General features: G+C 41.6%; 1 protein-coding gene across 42 annotated transcripts in view, besides 1 other annotated feature; it reads right to left on the bottom strand.

Moving 5' to 3' along the window:
- The window catches only part of TLK2 (tousled like kinase 2), a 144,568-nt gene that overhangs the window by 3,237 nt on the left and 120,615 nt on the right, over positions 1–20,716 (bottom strand). For all 42 annotated transcript variants that reach the window (XM_024450552.2, XM_024450553.2, XM_047435179.1 and 39 more), the window contains 5 exons: positions 15,571–15,660; positions 11,425–11,594; positions 10,065–10,203; positions 6,004–6,115; positions 4,097–4,204 (listed from right to left, as the gene is read on the bottom strand). In XM_024450552.2, the coding sequence (XP_024306320.1) occupies positions 4,097–4,204; positions 6,004–6,115; positions 10,065–10,203; positions 11,425–11,594; positions 15,571–15,660 (619 nt within the window). The remainder of the gene's footprint in view (positions 1–4,096; positions 4,205–6,003; positions 6,116–10,064; positions 10,204–11,424; positions 11,595–15,570; positions 15,661–20,716) is intronic.
- Positions 324–443: an enhancer, noted in NCBI's record as "active region_12540". NCBI's record gives its function as "activates an Ori minimal core promoter by ATAC-STARR-seq in GM12878 lymphoblastoid cells {active_cell/tissue: GM12878}" and the evidence as "EXISTENCE:reporter gene assay evidence [ECO:0000049][PMID:35858748]".

Here is a 20,716-nt window from a genome sequence, read left to right as displayed (position 1 = left end):
GACCCAAAGAACACAAGGGAAGGAGAAGCACCAACAGAAGTACCTCTCTGCTGCCACCGATCCCTTCTCAGACAGAAAGGGCTGAGCCATTACTGAAGGGAGGAAAAAGGAAGCATGACCTCTAAATACTCCTGCCCCCAAAGCACTAAGACCAACAGAAAAAAAAAAAATCTCTCTTTGTCTTCGCTGGTTTGGATGGGAACGATCTAACTTCACGGTCCTCCATCTACAAACCATGGCCTCATGTGAACTTCCTGAGGAAGCGAAAATTCTGTCACCATATGAAGTGTCAGGAGACACACAACGACTAACACTATGATGTGTCACAGGTTATAAAATTATTTCCCTATGTCGTAAAGGGAAACGTGAAAAGGACTTGCATCTGCAATAATACTGTAGACCCAAAAATGCAGTGAGTGGGGTTGCACACGGAATTCCAGTTGACTACCAATATGGAGGCTATGTAGTTTTAGTTTCTGTAAGTCTTAGCATAAAGGCCCTTATATAGATTATCTGTCTTTTCCTGCTTGCTTTCTTCCTATTTTTTAGCTAGTTCTGTTTAATCAGTTTCAATATAACTATTTTAAATAAATTAATTTAAAAAAATCTAAAACATCATTATTACAGAAACTCAGTATTTTACATGAGGGTGACAAGGATGTGATGTGTCGGTACAGATAGGTTCATTGGCTCTCTCGAATGGACTGCTCTGGCAGGGGATATCGATGCGGAGGCTGTGCATGGGTACAGCAGGCGGTATAAGGGAACTCTATACTTTCAGTTTTGCTATGAGCCTAAAAATGCTCTAAAAAGCAAAGTTGATTTGAAACAAAATCTACAACATGAATCAAGCTACTGATTTTTTGGTTTTCCCCCATGTTTGATAAACAAATTAATAATACAATGCCAATCTGGTTTTTCAAAATTAAAGACTTACAGGTACTGGCTTGGTTAAAGCATTTGGAAGATAAAAACAATTCATAGAAATGAACATAATGATCCTTGGCCTTTAAAAATGAGCCTTTCTAGGTGAAAGACAAGGAATTGGAGTTAAACAGGTTATCTTGGCTTAAATACTGGTCAAACTGTTTTTTAAAACTTTTTTTAGAGACAAGATCTCGTTCTGTCACCCAGGCTGGAGTGCACGGGCATGATCATAGCTCATTGTACTCTCAAACTCCTGGGCTCAAGTGATCCTCTACCTCAGCCTCCCAAGTAGCTAGGACCAAAGGCGTGCCCCACCACATCTAGCTACTTTTAAAATATTTTGTAGAAATGGGTCTCACTATGTTTCCCAAGATGGTGTCAAACTTGTGGCCTCAAGCAATCCTGCCACCTCATCTTCCCATAGGATTACAGGTGTGATCCATGGCACTCAGCCAAGTAAACTTCATTTACCTTGAATTTTCTCTGTAGCTGCCAGTGTCAGCTCTTAAAACAGCAATCAACTCACATAGTTGCCCTGATTAAAACCTGCAACTGCCTTCCCTCACACTTACCCTCACCCTCCTGCCTCTCTTACCACCTTCCCATTTGCTCTGTGGACCTGCAAAAAGCTCATTCTCACATCTGAGCTTCTCTCTGCTAAAATACTTTCCCCTGCAGATCTAACGGCTCCTGCAAATCATGGCTCCCACCTTCATACCATTCAAGATACTGCTCAAACTGTCACTTCATCTTTGAGGCCTTCCCTAACCATGCCATCAAAAAAAGAGGTTTCCACCTCCTCATCCCCCTACTCTGATTTATTTCTTCATAACATGTGTCACCATCTGAAATGTATCCACTTTTTGTTTTATTGTTTTTCTCATAAGTGGAATATAAACTCCTTAAGGGTAGGGAACTGTTCTGCAGAGTTCACTGCTACATATTCGATTCCATCTCCACTACCCGGAATAGTGTCTTAGTGTTTCACAGGCATTCAGTAAATATTTGTTGTGGGAGGACAGGAAGAGAAGAGGGTAGGATTAGGAGAAACAGGGACACAGGAGATAATGCACAGAAACATTTGGAGATACTTCTGTATTCTTCACAACAAGTTCATCTAACAGACTCTAAAGTTTTGGAGACATTTGTTCACCTATTTATTGAATAAACATGAAAATTTGACAAAAGTTATATAAAGAAATAGTCTTGAAAAACCTGACAGATTAGGAGAATTAAACATCTACCAGACAATGTATTCAAGTCCCTCAGTATCGACTCTGGGTGGCAGCTGTGGCATGGGTAGTGAGAGCAGCTAGCTAGAGAATCTGCCAAGGGTTAGGTGCTACCAGTCCTCTTAAACCTCACAACCACCCTTCTCTTTTTCTTTTTTTGAGACAGGGTCTCACTGTGTTGCTGAGGCTGGAGTGCAGTGGCTATTCATAGGTATGATCATAGCACATTACAGGTGCACAGCGCTGCACCTAGCTACTAACACCTTTTAAGGAAGATGTTTTTGTCTCTGTTTTTATGGATAAGGAAAAGCAGCTTAAAAGGTTTAACTTGCCTAAAGTTACACAGCTACTACTGAGTGTAGAGCTGACACCAAAATTAGGTTAACCAGGCTTCAAAGCTGAGCCTCTCTCCAGCTCTCCTAGGACAAGTCAGGAAATCAGCATTTGCCTTAGGGATGTGTCATGGGACTTCTCCCTTGCAGATTTGATTTCTTGGTTATGCAGTACTTAAACTGTTGAACAATGGGGACAGGGAGCCATCAGTCAGGAATTATAAACAACTGCTAAAGATGTTAATTCTTACCCTGTGACATGGCAGCTAAACCACTTGGAAAAGAGGTTCTTTCCTAACCTATGTCACATAGGTACACTGTGAGGGAACGGCAGAGATCAAACACCGAAGAAAGAGATTAGACTTGTAACTGGCTGGGCACAGTGGCTCATACCTATAATTCTAGCACTTTGGAGGCTGAGGCAGGCGGATGGCTTGAGCCTAGGAGTTCGAGATCAGCCTGGGCAACACGGCGAAACCCCTTGTCTACAAAAAATACAAAAAAATAGCCAGGAGCAGTGGTGCACACCTGTAGTCCCAGCTTCTTGGGAGGCAGAGGTGGGAGGATCACCTGAGCCTGGGGAGGTCGAGGCTGTGGTGAGCCGTGATAATGCCACTGCACTCCAGACACGGTGACAGAGTGAGACTCTGTCTCAAACCAACAACAACAAAAGACTTATAACTGCTCACTTTGACTTTAAAAATGCTAAATGACCACAGCACCCAATGGGGCTGGCTACCACTCACCTAAGTAGAACTGGTTAATAAATAGAGATAAATAAAATAGCAAGGAAAAAGTAGGCTGGCTACTAGAATCTTGGTTTACAGATGTGGCAAGGATGAGTGATTATTTATAGCTTCCTTTTCACCACTTCCCATTCCATGTTTCCTTTGCCTCACGAGTTTTTTATGCCCTCACCAACTGCAACAGAATTTACTGCTTACCATTCACCTGACGTTTAACCCTATAATGTTGATATGGTTTGGCTGTGTCCCCACTCAAATCTCATCTTGAATTGTAGTTCCCATAATCCCGTGTCATGGTAGGGTCCTGGTGGGAGGTAACTGAATCATGGGGGTGGTTACCTAAGTTTCCTAAGGTCTCCCCAGCCATGCTGAGCTGAGTCAATTAAACCTCTTTCCTTTATAAATTACCCAGTCTTGGGTATATCTTTATTAGCAGCATGAGAACAGACTAATACAAATGCCTTAGTACTCTTATATAATTTCTCCTACATGGGCATTAGCTCCCCAAATTAATCATAATCCCTGAATACAGATGAAGCTGGGTATCTTTCGTGACATCCACACACCTGTTCTCTCTCAACTGGAGTCTGCTCTCCCTCCCTTTCTGACTCTAGGGAGCCTTTCCAGATTAAAACACCCACCTATCAACATTCCTTCTACTGGAACTGGGGATGGGGTGGTCAGGGTGTAAGCAATGTTCTTCTGTCAAGTGTTCTTAGGAACATTAATTCATGCCTATCCTAATATTTTTATTAACTGCTGAATTTCACACTGAAGAATCCATCCACTATTACCCAAAAAAGTAATACAGAAAGCAAAGCAGCCGTTTCTGTTGGCCAATGGGTCAAACAAAACTTACCTTTGCTTCAGGTGTTACTACTGGCTTTGGCGGGAACTGCACTTCAGTAGCTTTAAGAATCGTATTCTCTTGTAGGATGTCTTGCTGAGACTGGTTATGGCCAAAAGGCTGTCACATAAAAACAAACAAATAATGTAGGCCTCTGATGAAAATTATAGAGAAAACAATTCAATACCCCAGGGAAGGAAAAGGATAAGACATCTTCTAATTTGAATTGCTGCAAGGAACTCTGGAGACAATCCCCTCTAGTTCTCTCACTTTATAGATAAAAGGGGTTGAGAGCTCAGAGCATATGTAACTTGCTCACAGTTCAACTACCAGGTCAAAGCAGAGTGGGGACCAGAAGCAGCATCTCCTATATCCTAATGCTCTGCTAAGCTTTGCTCACACCAGAGAAAAGGGAGATCTAGAGCAGGACCCAGCAACCTCACCTGCTCTGAGGGATACATGCGGCCCTAAGAAATACACACCTGTGCCTCAGGCCAACTCAAAAAACAGAAAAAGAGAAGGAAAGGAAGTCAAAACCAAGAGGGGTAAGGACAGAGTGGGAAAAAGAAAGAGTTGGGGTTACTTAATGGCTTCAACTATGCCGAGCTGCCATTTCCTTTGTCTTTTTTTTTGAGATGGAGTCTCGCTCTGTCGCCCAGACTGGAGTACAGTGGCATGATCTCAGCTCAGTGAAAGCTCTGCCTCCCGGGTTCATGCCATTCTCCTGCCTCAGCCTCCCGAGTAGCTGGGACTACAGGCACCCGCCACCACGCCCGGCTAATTTTTTTTTTTTTTTGGTAATTTTAGTACAGACGGGGTTTCACCATGTTAGTCAGGATGGTCTCGATCTCCTGATCTTGTGATCCACCTGCCTCGGCCTCCCAAAGTGCTGGGATTACAGGTGTGAGCCACCACGCCTGGTCACCGAGCTGCCATTTTCTAATAAACTCTTAAAAACAAGTTCAACTCAAGTCTCTCTATACTGGTTCTACTGAGATCTCTCTCAAACAGTTATTTCTAGATAATTTCTACTGCTGTTATCGGCAGCAATTCAACATTGTCAGGGAATGTAAATAATAATTAAGCCTACTACCTCTGAATAGTTTCCCTGTTTTAGAGAGGTGAGATAGAAAAAAAAAAAAAAAAAAGACCAAGGAGAAGCTAAAGAGGAAGGTATAATCTGAATTAAGAGCCTGGTCTGGGGAATGTAATCAAAATATTAAGAATTCAAAGGACACACAGAACTCCCATCTGGCTTATACCCACAGCCTACTGGGAAACACTGAAACAAACAAACACACAAAAACAGCAATAGGAACATAAATACACAAATGGATCCTAATATATACATTTATAAGGCATGTTCACAAGGAAAAACAAATGTGACAATTCATTAGGTGTAGTTTACCACTTGTTGAAATATGTCACCTTGATCAGAGGTAACAATGAATACATCCTGACACCATCTCCCCAGTATAGAAATATAAAGCACGCTTTCATTAATAATAGGTTCAACTAATGGGATGGCTGGCGATAAAGATTCTGGGGATATTTTGAGTTTTGGTTCTTGGGGCCCCCAGGTTCTTGGGAAGATTGTATACTTTAATAAATAAACGATTTTTGTAAATCCCTATACACACTATCAGAATAAATACATGTTCCAGATCTAATTGAGAACAGCAAAAGTGCATGTTTTTAACAGCCCCGCAGAACTCATTAGGTGCCCTAGGGTTGAGGATTTCTGCTTACGAATAAGGCTTGTATTATTAAGTCTGTATTTTCTTTAAACCACTCCTTTCAGGATTCTATTTTGTATAACCCAATAATTAACTCCAATAGACTAATCCATACCAAGGCACTGTGTGTGTGTGTGCCACCCAAGAAAGAGATCAAGCTTCTCCATCAACCTTCTAACTTACCTTCCTTCCATAAAGACACTGATAGAAGATCACACCCACCGACCACACATCAACTTTATTTGAGATCTTTGGTGGTTCTTTCCCAACCACAAAACACTCTGGTGGTAAATACCTGGGACAAAAAAGAAATATAAATTATTAGAATAATGATCATATAAGTTTAAGACATGTACAAAAAGACAAAATAAAATATCTTGTTGAAAATAGAAATATCGTTTTTTTTTTTTTTTTTTTTGGAGACAGGGTCTTGCTCTGTCACCCAGGCTGAGTACAGTGGCGTGATCATGGCTCATTACGGCCTCAACCTCCCGAGCTCGGGTGGTTTCCCCACCTCAGCCTCCCAAGTAGCTGGGATTAAAGGCAGGCACCACCATGCCTGGGTAGTTTTTAAAAAAAATTTGTAGCAGTGGGGTCTCACTGTGTTGCCCAGGCTGGTCTCAAACTCCTGGACTCAAGTGATCCTCCCAGCTCGACCTCCTAAAGTACTGGGATTATAGGTGTGACCCACCACACCTGGCCAAAATATATGAATTTTAACAGTCAACTTAGACTTATATGGAAAGTCAATGAAAAGACACTCTAGGCGGGGTGTGGTAATCCCAGCACTTTGGGAGGACAAGGCCAGCAGATCGCTTGAACTCAAGAATTTGAGACCAGCCTGGGCAACATGGCGAAACCCTATCTCTACTAAAAATACAAAAATTAGCTGCGCCTGGTAGCACACCCCTGTAGCTCCAGCTGCTTGGGAAGCTGAGGCGGGAGGATCACCGGAGCCTGGGGGAGGTTGACTGCAGTGAGCCAAGATCATGCCACTGCACTCCAGCAAGAGAGTGAGACCCCCATCTCAAAGTAAGAAAAGACACTCTAACTTAGGGAGGCAGTAATGTCCCTATAGGGCATCAAAATAGTTCTCAATTTCCTAAGAGTGGTAAATATTCTCACTAGTCCCACTTCACTCACGATCTCGGCTCACTGCAACCTCTGCCTCCCAGGTTCAAGCGATTCTCCTGCCTCAGCCACCCAAGTAGCTGGGATTACAGGCGTGTGCCACCACGCTGGGCTAATTTTTTGTATTTTTAGTAGAGATAGGGTTTCACCGTGTTAGCCAGGATGGTCTCGATTTCCTGACCTCGTGATCCGCCCGCCTCAGCCTCCCAAAGTGCTGGGATTACAGGCATGAGCCACTGCACCTGGCCAGTTCTTGATTTTTTAATATACATAACTTAAATATGATCTTGGATAAGTATAACCTTAATTCTAAAATGACCATTTAAATATATTTGTGACTTTTTTATGGCAGTGGCAGGAAAGAATAGGAGTTGTTGAACTCATCCAAATGCAGAAAAATAAGTTAGCAAGATTTTTTTTTTTTTGAGACAGAGTCTCGCTCCATTGCCAGGCTGGAGTGTAGTAGTGTGACCTCAGCTCACTGCAACCTCCGAATAGCTGGGATTTCAGGCGTGCACCACCACGCCCAGCTAATTTTTTTATTTTTAGTATACACGGGGTTTCACCATGTTGGCCAGGATGGTCTCGATCTCTTGACCTCATGATCCGCCCGCCTTGGCCTCCCAAAGTGCTGGGATTACAGGCATGAGCCACCACACCTGGCTAGCAAGATTTTTAGAATATAAAAAGACCTGTCACTTGATTGTACATGTCTGGCAAATCCCTTTCTAGGTCTCAGTTTCTCCACCTGTAAGTGAATGAAATTAATTCTTCATCCAAATAATACTGAAAATAATAAGCATTCTAACTTACTATCAAGGATTTTGAGAGGAGAGTAAAAGACAGCTCTATGATACTAAACTGTGCTAAAAATATATATATATATATGTATATAGTTGCATATTCCATCACAATCAAAATCCCCATACAAAAAAACAATTATTCTCAAGGCATAGTCTATGGGTCACTTCTTTAAAATAAGTATTCAGCCAGGCGTGGTGGCTCACGCCTATATTCCCAGCACTTTGGGAGGCCGAGGCGGGTGGATCACCTGATATCAGGAGTTCAAGACTAGCCTGGCCAACATGGTGAAACCCCATCTCTACTAAAAATACAAAAAAATTAGCTGGGCGTGGTGGCGGGTGCATGTAAACCCAGCTACTTGAGAGGCTGAGGCAGGAGAATCACTTGAACTCGGGAGGCGGAGGCTGCAGTGAGTTGAGATCACACCATTGCACTCCAGCCCAGGCAACAAGAGCGAAACTCCGTCTCAAATAAATAAATAAATAAATAAATAAATAAATAAATAAATAAATAAATAAAGTATTCAATGTAGAAGAATTCTGTAACCAGTAAATACTGCAAATAGTTACTTATAATTTGTTATACCCTTCAGGATTATTTTTATCTGACATACTGAAGATAGTGATTATGACAGTATTTCTACCAATTTGGAGACTCTTCAAACCTTCATAGAAACCTGTAACACTTAATCTTCTCAGAAGCCCTGTCTTAAATTATTAAAAATCTCAACTATAATCTAAAGCAGAAAGAACAGTAAAATGACCCCCTAAGTAAGCACCATCCAGCTTCAAGAATTATCAACATGTGGCCAATCTCCACCATTTCTCCCAACAGACTACTTTGAAGCAAAATCCCTAGCATCACATAATTTTTACTTAAATTCTAATCACTGAATTTTTGTAGGTAAGCAACTACAGCAGTAACTATTTTAAATGCAAAAAAACTGTGCCTTAAAAAAAAAAAGATCAAACACAAAGCTCAAATCCAAATTCCAGTGAATTTATATAGCAGAGGTATAGACCTGTTTCTAGAATTTCCAGCAGCAGATATTTTTGTATCACTTAGTGACAGGAACACTAGCCCACAATAACCACCACAGTGAATAAACATTGTAAATGCAGCTTCTATTTTAAATCTGTAATTTCAAAGTTTTAATTTAGGGACTGACTTTTTACAACAGGTACCATTTCCACAAGCAGTAAGGAGCAACAGAAACCGGGGCATTGTGTCCATGGTGTTATTGGCAGGCTTCACGATGAGCACAGGGCTGATGCTGTGTTGTGAACGCCATGCCCCTCTGCTTCCTCCTCTACCTCTGATTCCCAGACAGTCAGTACTCTCTGCTAAGGCCTAGGACCTTTCAGTTCCAAAGATAAAGTGATTTGACCACCTTCCCTAGGGTACAAATAACATGTGTTGCCCCTCCGTTGGTGCTATAGAGCCTTCTCTTGCAACTCTTGAAGCAAATCCCTCATCCCATTAAGCCAGGAAGAGAGACTTGTATTTGGACTAAAAAAAACTGGGGGCCATTCTTTATATACACCAATATGTGGCTTGTGTGACCACCTCAAAATGGAAGAGGAAGCTTTATTAACACACTTTTACAACCATAGAGTTAAAGGCCTGAGTTTCAGGTATCTTTTATGGTTCTAATGGCCAAAGGTAATAGTAGGCAGAAATAGAAGCATAAAACTGGCAGGCAGAGGTAGCTTGGGTGCGGGTGGCTAGGGGAAGACAGGTGACAAGAGATGTGAAGAAATGTGCCTCAAAAACTTTTAGATCATGGCTAACAGACATGGATAAACTTCTGGTAAATTGTAGTCACTTTTTCCTGTATAGATTTCATATGCGCTATAGTTATGTTTCATCCTGATCTTCATAACTCCCTACAGTCCAACATCCTCAGGCAACTCTTGAGACAAATCCCTTATCCCATTAACCCATGAAGAGAGACCTGTATTTGGACGGAAAGATTTTGGGGCCATTCTTTATATACACATGAGCAACCTTGTTCTCTACTGACTTGCAAGGCCAACTCTGTACAAAAAACATACATTTCAAATACCTGGACACATATAAGCTCTCTTTCTTAAGGATTTTCAAGAAAGGAAAGAAAAATTAAGACAAATTAATATAAATACCAAGAGTCAAACTGTTGAAAAGACAGTAATGATTTGGGGAGAAAGTCTGCTTTGGTTTATGGCATTTTTGCCTAGCAGATAGCATACAGCAATTAATTCATTATCAACACTTCAGCATAGCAGAGCCACATCTCTATAGCCAACCTGGCAGAGCTCCTGGATACCTACCAATAAGTACCAGCACCTTGTGATGTTAGCTCCATGCCATCCACTGAATTGTAGCTATCATCATCCATGATCTTCGAAAGACCAAAATCTGTAATTTTTATCTCTCCACACGCTGTACCATTTACTAAAAGAATATTACCTAAAAAATAAAAACCTTCATGAATAAGCAGAGACTTACTGATTTAAGAGAAAAACCCAAAGTAATAGCAGATAAGAAGGGGACAACTGAACTCAAACTCTTGCAAAAGCAAACATCCAAATCCTGGGAATCAAGCAATCTGGACTCTGGATACTCAGGGAGAGTCCTCAGCATCTGCTGAAACTTCTATTTTCCAAGAATCACCTGCTTAATGTGCCAAAACCACCACTATGATGAGCTCTGGAAATAAAAATAACTGGCCAAAGTAAAATACCCTTGTTCACTTGGTCAAAACTGATGGGAAACTTTCATCTGAACTTTCAGTGAGGATCTCTAAACTACCCTGTTTAGAACAGCACTTGGGGTGTGGGGGAGGAATCAAAGAAACCATGTAAGGAAACCAAAGCTAGCACCACAGCACCGCCTACAGCTCCCATTGCAGGAAAGTGTTGAATTCAGTTATGGAAAATTCATTCACAAAATAGCCATCTTTTAAAAAATTTCTTCATCATAATTAATGTTTTAGTCATCTGAATTGTATTAGAACATTAGAGAATAGTCAATGAGACGCAATATGCACCTACCAGAAGAGTAAAGCAAAGTTTACAATTTTGCAACACCAGAAGGTAAATGTGGACCATCTTCCTAATGCCCAAGCTAAGCTGTTAGAGTTGTCTATAGAACTATGCAGATTTCTAAAACACAGCTGAAGATAACAATAAAAAATAGAGGTAAGGACTCTAGCTGCCCTGTACTCTTTGCTGATGAACATCAAAGCTAGATAATAACCATACAAAAAGATGAAAAATTCTGCTTGAAATTTATTGAAATGGGAGGCATATAAGTAAAAATAAGTTATTAATTTGGGGGCTCTTATCAAAGAGACCTGAAGCAGAGGGACTGTTATGTAGTAGGAGTCATGGGAAAAAAACAAAACTGAACTTGCTGCAACAGTTCTTTCTTAATGAGACTTACATCATGAACTGCCCTGGCTCCAAAGATAAAGGTATTGTTTCTCCAGAGTATTTAATCCAACACGCCCTCCTAAACCCAGTGCTGCTTGGCCAGGACTCTTTTTTCCCACACCTACCCAGGCAATCAAAAGTCAGATGTTATTAGCCTTTCTTGGCTGCTGTGAAATTCTCTAACTTTATCAAATTAAAAGTCACTTATAAGACCAAAGAAAACCCACTAATACTGTCTCCTAAAAGTTAGACATACCTGGTTTGAGGTCATAGTGTATGATGGGAGGTTTTATTTCATTTAAGTACTTTAAAGCATTCACAATCTGCATGATAATGGACCGGGCCTCTTTCTCCGACATTAATTTGTGCTGTTTCAGGTAGAAGTCCAGATCATTTCCCTCACAGTATTCTAATACTGTACAAAACCTAAAGACAAATAAACCAATATTTAACCATGGAATAAGAGCAAGCAGATTAACACTACCTAAATTAGTCCCATGTGAAAACTTCAGGTCATCAGCTTCTCACTCCTTTCTTCTTTGTTCCTTAAAATACTCTTCAATTGTTTATTCAGTATTAGCTGAGGGGTTTCTGGTAAGAAACTGCTTATTCTCTTGAAGAGTTTCCACACCCTCAATGTTGGAATCTGTTGTGCTCAAGTTCACCCATGGCAGACCTCTTCTTGAGTCTAGACTATAAGAATACTGATAAGAACTATAATGTATTTAAGCTAGGTATCTTCTTGGAAGGGGCTCCTTTACACACCCATGCCACACATCCACGTCTAAACAACCAGAATGTGATCAAGTACACAATTCTCTCTTTTTTTTTTTGAGACTCCGTCTCACTCTGCTGCCTAGGCTGGAGTGCAGTGGCGCAATTTTGGCTAGGTACACAATTCGCACTGCAAACATTTTATATAACCCTGAGTGCTGGCAATGAGTAAGAATCTAGAGTTTGCCCACGTCCCAAAAACTGACTGCATACTACGTCTTCTGACAGCTTGGCACAATACTGCACTACAATTTCTCTTAAACACAAGGTGTAAAAGAGCTTGTAAAGTATAGTATCTATGGTTCTAACAAAAGTATGTGGGTTCTCTTTCCTTCCCTTATGTCAATATGTCATACAGACCCATACATAAAACCATATGCCATTGGTGGCATCACAGGTCACGTGTCTATCTTCCAAGGCATTATACTCTGAAGTAAGGTGTCCTGAACTGTTTGAATATTCCTGAGGGATGAATACGTTTTGAAGTTTTCTAAGTTGTGACAATGTGGGTGTATCAGTCAGTTTAGCCTGGAAAAAAAAACCACCTGAACATTTAAAACAGAGAGACTTTAATTCAGGGAACTGATCATACAGATGATGGAAGAGCTGAGAAGACAAACTGGTCAGTGAGGCACCCTAGAGATCATCTACAGCAGGAAGCCATTAGCACCCTCAGGCAAGCAGGCCAGAAGGGAGGAGATGGTGAAACCAGAACCCAGGGTCATCAGGGGAAACTAGAATTGCGGGGAGGGAGAGGAGGTGGAGACCCCCTCCCATTTCTGCCTTCCCATTGGCTGAAACCAACAGAACACCAATGGACACATGGGCCTGATAAACACAGCCTACACGGGCTAACCCCCCAAAGATACAGAGCAGCGAAAGGGCGAGGAACAGAACTGAGAGCAAACAGACTCAGGTCTAGCGCTATGGGCCACTGAGCAATTTGAGGCCTTCATAAAGCACTGCAATTGAACATGGACACACATGGTCCTGTGGACACCACAAACTGAACAATATCTTATGTATCTTAAGAAACATGGCAGGGCATGCTAACACCCTATTTGAAAACAAATGTCTGCTGTAATCCCAGCAATTTGGGAGGCAGAGATGGGTGGATCACTTGAGGCCAGGAGTTTGAGACCAGCCTGGCCAACATAGTGAAACTCTGTCTCTACTAAAAATACAAAAAATTGGCCAGGTATGGTGGCGCATGCCTGTAATCCCAGCTACTTGGGAGGCTGAGGCAGGAGAATTGCTTGAACCCATGAGGTGGAGGTTGCAGTGAGCCAAGATCATGCCACTGCACTACTGCCTGGGCAACAGAGCAAGACTCCATCTCAAATAAAATAAAATTAAAAAAAGAAATGTCTGAAATTTATAGATTCCTCTGATCTGAGATTCTGAAATCTGAAATATAGACTCATGCTCAATGGAATGATTCTTTCACCCAAATGCAAGTTGAAAATAAAGCCTCACTTTCAGCCAGGCGCGGTGGCTCAAGCCTGTAATCCCAGGACTTTGGGAGGCCCAGGCGGGCGGATCACAAGGTCAAGAGTTCAAGACCAGCCTGCCCAGCACGGTGAAACCCTGTCTCTACTAAAAATACAAAAATTAGCCAGGCATGGTGGCGTGCATCTGTAATCCTAGCTACATGGGAGGCTGAGGTAGGAGAATCGCTTGAACCTGGGAGGTGGAGGTTGCAGTGAGCCAAGATCGCACCACTGAACTCCAGCCTGGGCAACAGAGTGAGACTCCATCTCAGGAAAAAAAAAAGGAAAACAACCAAAACAAAAGAAAGAAAAGAAAATAAAGCCTCACTTTTAATACCCAAACAATTCTCAGAAGATGTTCTAAAAATCATGGTCTGACTTATTTTTGGTGAAAATTCATCATACATACAATAGGAAGAACAAAGTAATCAACTCAAGAATAGTATAGAACCAACTCAATTTCTCACATTAGTTAAAAGTGTGTATACAATTCAAAACAGCAGATAATTTGAGCCTGATATTTAACTTTGAAATAGTTCTTGAACTTAATAGTTCAGAGAGGGGGGTCTACCTAGTATTCAAGAAATTTGCTCAAGGCAAAACAGTAATGTCATGCCCCGCCCCTTGTTTCCCAATCCTGCCTTCTAACTAGATCTTTTTAAAAAAATTCCACTCCACGTGAAACACACATGGCTAAGCTCAGTGCCAGGGCTACCCAAATGAGAAGAAATCCCTGAGAGAATGGCCCAGGTCATGTTTCCAAAGGGAATTATAGTCCTCTTTGGGGTTATTTCTAAATGTAAGGCAGCTGTCTGCACAGCCATATCTGAGACTGTTGGCTAGAACAGACCAAAACTCCTAGAATTACCCTGGGAGGCTGAGGGAACCTGAAGTCTAGACCTAGGGTATATTCTGATTCAGTTCAGACTTCTACAGAGAAACATTTCCAAATGCTGAGATATATCCAGCTAAACTGCTGGATAAACCCAGAGGCACGGGAGGTTACCTATACCAAGTAACAAAATATAGCAATGCCCACAATTAATAACTATCTCAGACAAGTTATTTAACTTCTCTGGTCCTCAAAATCCACCTATAAAATGAAAAGGCTGGACTCTGAGATCCCTTCCTATTCTAACATCCTATAAGCCTATGAGCCTGTATTTCAACATGTAGCACTGAGCCTTGTCTTCATTAGTGCCACATTTCTTATCTCAGTCTAGGATAAAATCACACGGCCAGTACTTTTTAAAAAGGTCTGTCAATGTTCATAAGAGTCTCTGGGGTGAGCAGAAACTCTCTTGAACAGTCTACACTCACTAGTGCACGTCAGTGGCATGCTGGCACCAACTCATGCCAGTTTCCAAGAGCTGACTTAAATTTTCAAGAATTTTGTGAGCTGGTTATCAAACCGTTATAAGCAAAATGTGGTATATCCACACAATGGAATATTATTTTGCCATAAAAAGGAATGAAGTACTGACACAGGCTACAAGGATGAAATTTGACAACACCATGGTAAGTGAAAGAAGCCAGTAATAAAAGTCCACATACTATATGATTCCATGCATATGAGGGTCCAGAATAGGAAATCTATAAAGATAAAACAGACAGATTAGGGCTAGGGCAGAGGGATGGAATGGTGGAATAGATGAATAGTAGTAAAAGGTATGATGGGGTTTGAGATGGTGAAAAAATTCTAAAATTGCCTCTGGTGGTTGCATGTATCTATGAATATGCTACAAACCACTAAACTGTATATTTTACATGTGTGAATCATACAGTATGTGAATTATAATTAAGATGTTTAAAAAAAAACAAAAATAAACAGGTGGTACATCAAAATTAGACACAGGAGGAATATCTACACCACGGAAACTGGCAAACACTATAAATTAGCCCTGTCTCTCTTCATACCAAGCTGGCTGTTAAACATTTACTGGCACACAAGTGCACATGTCCTTTGGCCTAGAGGTTTCTTGCTGATCCAAATCTGAATTTATGTTTGATCATTTGTCACAAATTACTTGGTTCCCTCAGAGGGTATGTCCTGGACCCAGAGTTCAGCTCTATTCCATGAACAATCAGCATTGCAAGAAAATAATATAACTGTTAAGGTAAAACAGCACAGCACTTACGAGTCAGTATCCAGTGAAAAGTAATCATACAGCTTAACTATTCTGGGATGATCCAGCTCTTTATGAATCCGGTATTCCCTACATGCATGCCTGTAAACAAAAGGGAAAATTAACAAGAAGGTATATTGGCCTGCCTTTTAGAACTCTTCAAAGATCCTCCTAAATATTCAATCATTTCTCTATTGTCTCCACATGTTAATTCCATTCAGGTCCATCTGGTCCCTCATCTGACTTTTCTCTTTGCTCATCCTATTTTCTCCACTGGAATCTACCAAGCCATTGAGAAAATAATAGGTGCTCTGGCTGGGCGTAGTGGCTCACGCCTGTAATCCCAGCACTTTGGGAGGCCGAGGCAGGTGGATCACGAGGTCAAGAGATGGAGACCATCCTGGCCAACATGGTGAAACCCCGTCTCTACTAAAAATATAAAACTTAGCTGGGCGTAGTGGTGCGCACCTGTGGTCCCAGCTACTCGGGAGGCTGAGGTAGGAGTCACTTGAACCCAGGAGTTGGAGGATGCAGTGAGCTGAGGTCGCGCCACTGCACTCCAGCCTGGTGACAGAGCGAGACTCTATCTCCAAAAATAAAATAAAATAAAATAACAGGTGCTCAAATATTTGTTAAGTGAATGGATGTCAACCCTTTTCATCCCTTTCAAGTTCATTCTATGATAATCACACCTCTTTTCCACGTATACTCAAGTATCATAGATTTTAAAATAACAAGGACGGTTATTTTCCCCCCTCCTCTAAAGCTGATACATCATATCTGTAAATGTATATATGCTCGGGTAACATCAAAGGGGTCATTTTTAGCATGTAAACCCCTTAGGTTAAAGCATTATCTGTTACATAAATCAATTAGCAGTACTTTGTATTTTTTGTTTTTAAATCCTTCTTACAAAAACAATTTAAGTGCTATTAGCTTTACTTTATTCTAATAAAATATGAAATGTGAAATTATGGAACCCCAGTTTTCTTAGAATGGCGAATTTGATACAGTCATCCACTGCAGAACAACCCTTCGGTCAATGATGCTAAGCCACACATATGACGGGGTCCCATAAGAGTATAACAGAGCTTCCCATGAACTGAGGAAGAAAAAAAAAAAAAAAGTACAACAGAGGTGAAAAATTCCTATCACCTGGTAACCCAGCAGTCATGATGTCACCACACAATGCATTACTCGCGCTTGTGGTGATGCTGGTGTAAACAAACCTACTGTGCTGCCAGCCATATTAAAGTCTAGCACCTAACAATTATCTACAGTATATAACACTTGATAATGATAATAAATGAATACATTATTGGTTTATGTATTTACTATACAGCAGGCCCTTAAATAACATCATTTTGTTATAACGCTGATTTAAAAAAAAAAAAAAAAAAAAAGGGGGCCAGGCACGGCAGCTCATGCCTGTAATCCCAGGACTTTGGGAGGCCAAGGCGGGTGGATCACCTGAGGTCGCTGGATCACCTGAGGTCAGGAGTTCGAGACCAGCCTGACCCAACATGGTGAAACCCCGTCTCTACTAAAAATACAAAAATTAGCTGGCCGTGGTGGTGGCCACCTGTAATCCCCACTACTCAAGAGGCTGAAGCAGGAGAATCACTTGAACCTGGGAGGTGGAGGTTGCAGTGAGGCGAGACTGCGCCATGGCACTCTAGCCTGGGTGATAAAGTTAGACTCCGTCTCAAAAAAAAAATCAATTCCTGGTCGGCACCACTGTCCATGTGGAGTCTGTTTGTTCTTCCCCTATCTGTGTGGGTTTTCTCAGGTTATTCTGCTTTCCTCCCACATCCCAAAGGCACATGTGTTGGGTTCACCGGCATACCCACATGGGGTGTGTGTGTGTGTGTGTGTGTGTGTGTGTGTGTGTGTGTGTACCCGCCCTGCAATGGGATGGCATCCTGTCTAGGGTGGCTCCCACCTTGCCCCTGAGCTGCTGATATAGGCTCTGGCCACCCTCAACCCTGAGTGGGGAATGAGTGGGTAAATGTTACCTTGTTTCTATTAAACTTTCTTAAATGTATATAAAGCTCATATACATTTCAACGTTTAGTATTAGAAGTGTTTTAGTCTTTATTTAGAAGCTGGGTAATGTTTTTGTGACCAGGAATATGCCACAGGAACTTAACTCTTGTTTATGTCAATTAGCCTATGGTAAAATTGGTTTTGTTACACCTTGTTTCCCTTAAAGTTGTAGTTTCCAAGAACCTATCACTGCTACTAAGTGAGGGCTTATGTACTGCACTTTTTTTGTTTTTGAGATGGAGTCTCGCTCTGTTGCCAAGGCTGGAGTGCAGTGGCGCGATCACAGCTCACTGTGGTCTTTGCCTTCCAGGTTCAAGCGATTCTCCTGCCTCAGCCTCCCAACTAGCTGGGATTACAGGCACATCCCAGCACGCCCAGCTAATTTTTGTATTTTTAGTAGAGAGGGGGTTTTGCCATGTTGGCCAGGTTGATCTTGAACTCCTGACTTCAAGTGATCCGCCTGCCATGGCCTCCCAAAGTGCTGGGATTACAGGCATGAGCCACGGCACCTGGCCTGCACTGTACTTTTTAATTATTTAAATTTTAGAGAGCAGGGGCGGTGGCTAACGGCTGTAATCCCAGCACTTTGGGAGGCTGAGGCAGGCGGATCACTTGAGGTCAGGAGTTTGAGGCCAGCCTGGCCACCATGGAGAAACTGCGTCTCTACTAAATATACAAAAAGCAGCAGGGAGCGGTGGTGTGCACCTGTAATCCCAGCTATTTGGGAGGCTGGGGCAGGAGAGACGCTTGAACCCAGGAGGCAGAGGTTGAAGTAAGCTGAGATAACACCACTGCACTCCAGCCTGGGCGACAGAGTGAGACTCCATCTCAAAAAAAAAAAAAAAAAAATTTAGAGTGTACCACTTCTACTTATTAAAAAAAAAAAATTAACTACAAAACAGCCTCAGGCGGGTCCTTCGGAGGGTATCCCAGGAAAAGGCATTGTTATCATGGGGGTGAAAGCTTCATGCATGTTATTGGCCCTGAAGAGCTTCCAGTGGGACAAGATGGAGATGGAAGAAAGTGATATTGATGGTCCTGACCCTGTGCAAGCCTAGGCTAATGAGTTGTGTGCCTTAGTTCTTAACAAAAAATGTTTAAAAATAAAAAAAAATTGTAATAGAAAAAAGCTTATAGAATAAGGATACAAGGAAAGAAAATATTTTCATACAACCGTACAATGTGATTTTTTTAAGCTAAGTGTTATTATGAGAGTCAAAAAGGTTAAAAAAAGGCAGTTTCTACAGCAAAAATGTTACAGTAAGTGAAGGTTAATTTATACTTGAAGAAAAAATTTTTAATAAATGTAGTGTAGCCTCTGTGTACAGTGTTTATAAAGTCTACAGTAGTGTACAACAGTATCCTAGACTCTGACTCACCCAGAACAACTTCCAGTTTTGCAAATTCTATTAATGGTACGGGTGTACCATTTTTATACTGTATATTTACTGCACCTTTTCTATGCTTAGATATGCTTAGATACACAATTAGTAACACAACTGCCTATAGCAGGGGTCCCCAACCCAGTACAGGTCCGTGCCTTGTTAGGAACTGGGCCACACAGCAGGAGGTGAGCAGTGGGTGAGTGAGCAAAGCTTCATCTGTGTTTACAGCTGCTCCCCATAGCTCGCATGACCGCCTGAGCTCCACGTCCTGTCAGATCAGCAGTGGCACAGATTCTCATAGGAGTGCAAACCCTACTGTGAACTGTGCACACCAGGGATCTAGGTTGTGTGCTCCTTATGAGAACCTAATGCCTGATGATCTGTCACTGTCTCCCATGACCACCAGATGGGACCGTTCAACTGCAGGAAAGCAAGCTCAGGGCTCCCACTGATTCTACATTATGGTAAGCTGTGTAATTAATTCAGTATATACTACAATGTAACACTAATAGAAATAAAGTACACAACAAATGTAATGCGCTTGAATCATCCTGAAACCATCTCCCCCTGTCCCCGGTCCATGGAAAAACTGTCTTCCACAAAACCGGTCGCTGGTGCCAAAAAGGCTGGAAACCACTGGCCTACAGTATTCAGTACAGTAACATGCTATACAGGTGTGTAGCCTAGGAGCAATGGGCTATACCATACAGCCTAGGTATGTAAGTAGGCTATACCATCTAAGCTTACATTAAGTACACTCTGTGATGTTTGCACAACAACAAAATCACCTAACGATACATTTCTCAAAATGTAGCCCCATTGTTAAGCAACATATGACTAATATGATTAGCATTTTTAAGGTACTTTTCTAGTTTAAATCATTTCATAAGGAACAAAAGTGTACTGTATAGTCTGACATATTCATATTCTGAATTTTAGAAGAACAGAATATGCTTACACAATGTAATTACCAATACTATTTTAAGAATGTAGTTCTGGCCGGGCGCAGTGGCTCGTGCCTATAATCCCAGCACTTTGGGAGGCTGAGGTGGGCAGATCACCTGAGGTCGGGAGTTCAAGACCAGCCTGACCAACGTGGAGAAACCCTGTCTCTACTAAAAAAAAAAATACAAAATTAGCCGGGGTGGTGGCGCATGCCTGTAATCCCAGCTACTCAAGAGGCTGAGGCAGGGGAATCACTTGAACCCAGGAGGCGGACGCTGTGGTGAGCTGAGATTGCGCCATTGCACTCCAGCCTGGGCAACAAGAGCGAAACTCTGTCTCGGAAAAAAAAAAAAAGAAGAAAGAATGTAGTTCTTATTTACAAAGACAGTAACTGATATTTTAAGTAATTCAGCACTATTTGGCTTAGGACATTTTGTTATAAGGCTAGTTGGAAAAGACACACTTTCCGTAGTACGGTAAAATAAAACTAAAAAACAGTGATGTTTTCAGAAACCGGTAAACTCCAGTATACCAAAGAAAAGCACTAACTAAAGAAAAGCTGAGGGAAAAATTAGGGGAAGTGGGGAAAGGGAGAAATAGGAATCTAAAAGTAATTACATATATTTTTCCCCAATGGAAACTATTTGGGCTTAGTTTCCAAGCTGCCACTTTTGGCCATTTTGCCTCCCCTGACGCTTCATTTCATCATCTTTACGTTTTTCCAAAAAACGACTTGCCAGCACTGAGGCAGGTGTTAGAACACACACTACCCTGGGGACACA

The sequence above is a fragment of the Homo sapiens genome, chromosome 17 (genome assembly GCF_000001405.40).
Source record: "Homo sapiens chromosome 17, GRCh38.p14 Primary Assembly".
NCBI lineage: Eukaryota > Metazoa > Chordata > Mammalia > Primates > Hominidae > Homo > Homo sapiens.
This window is presented reverse-complemented; position numbering and strand designations above follow the sequence as displayed.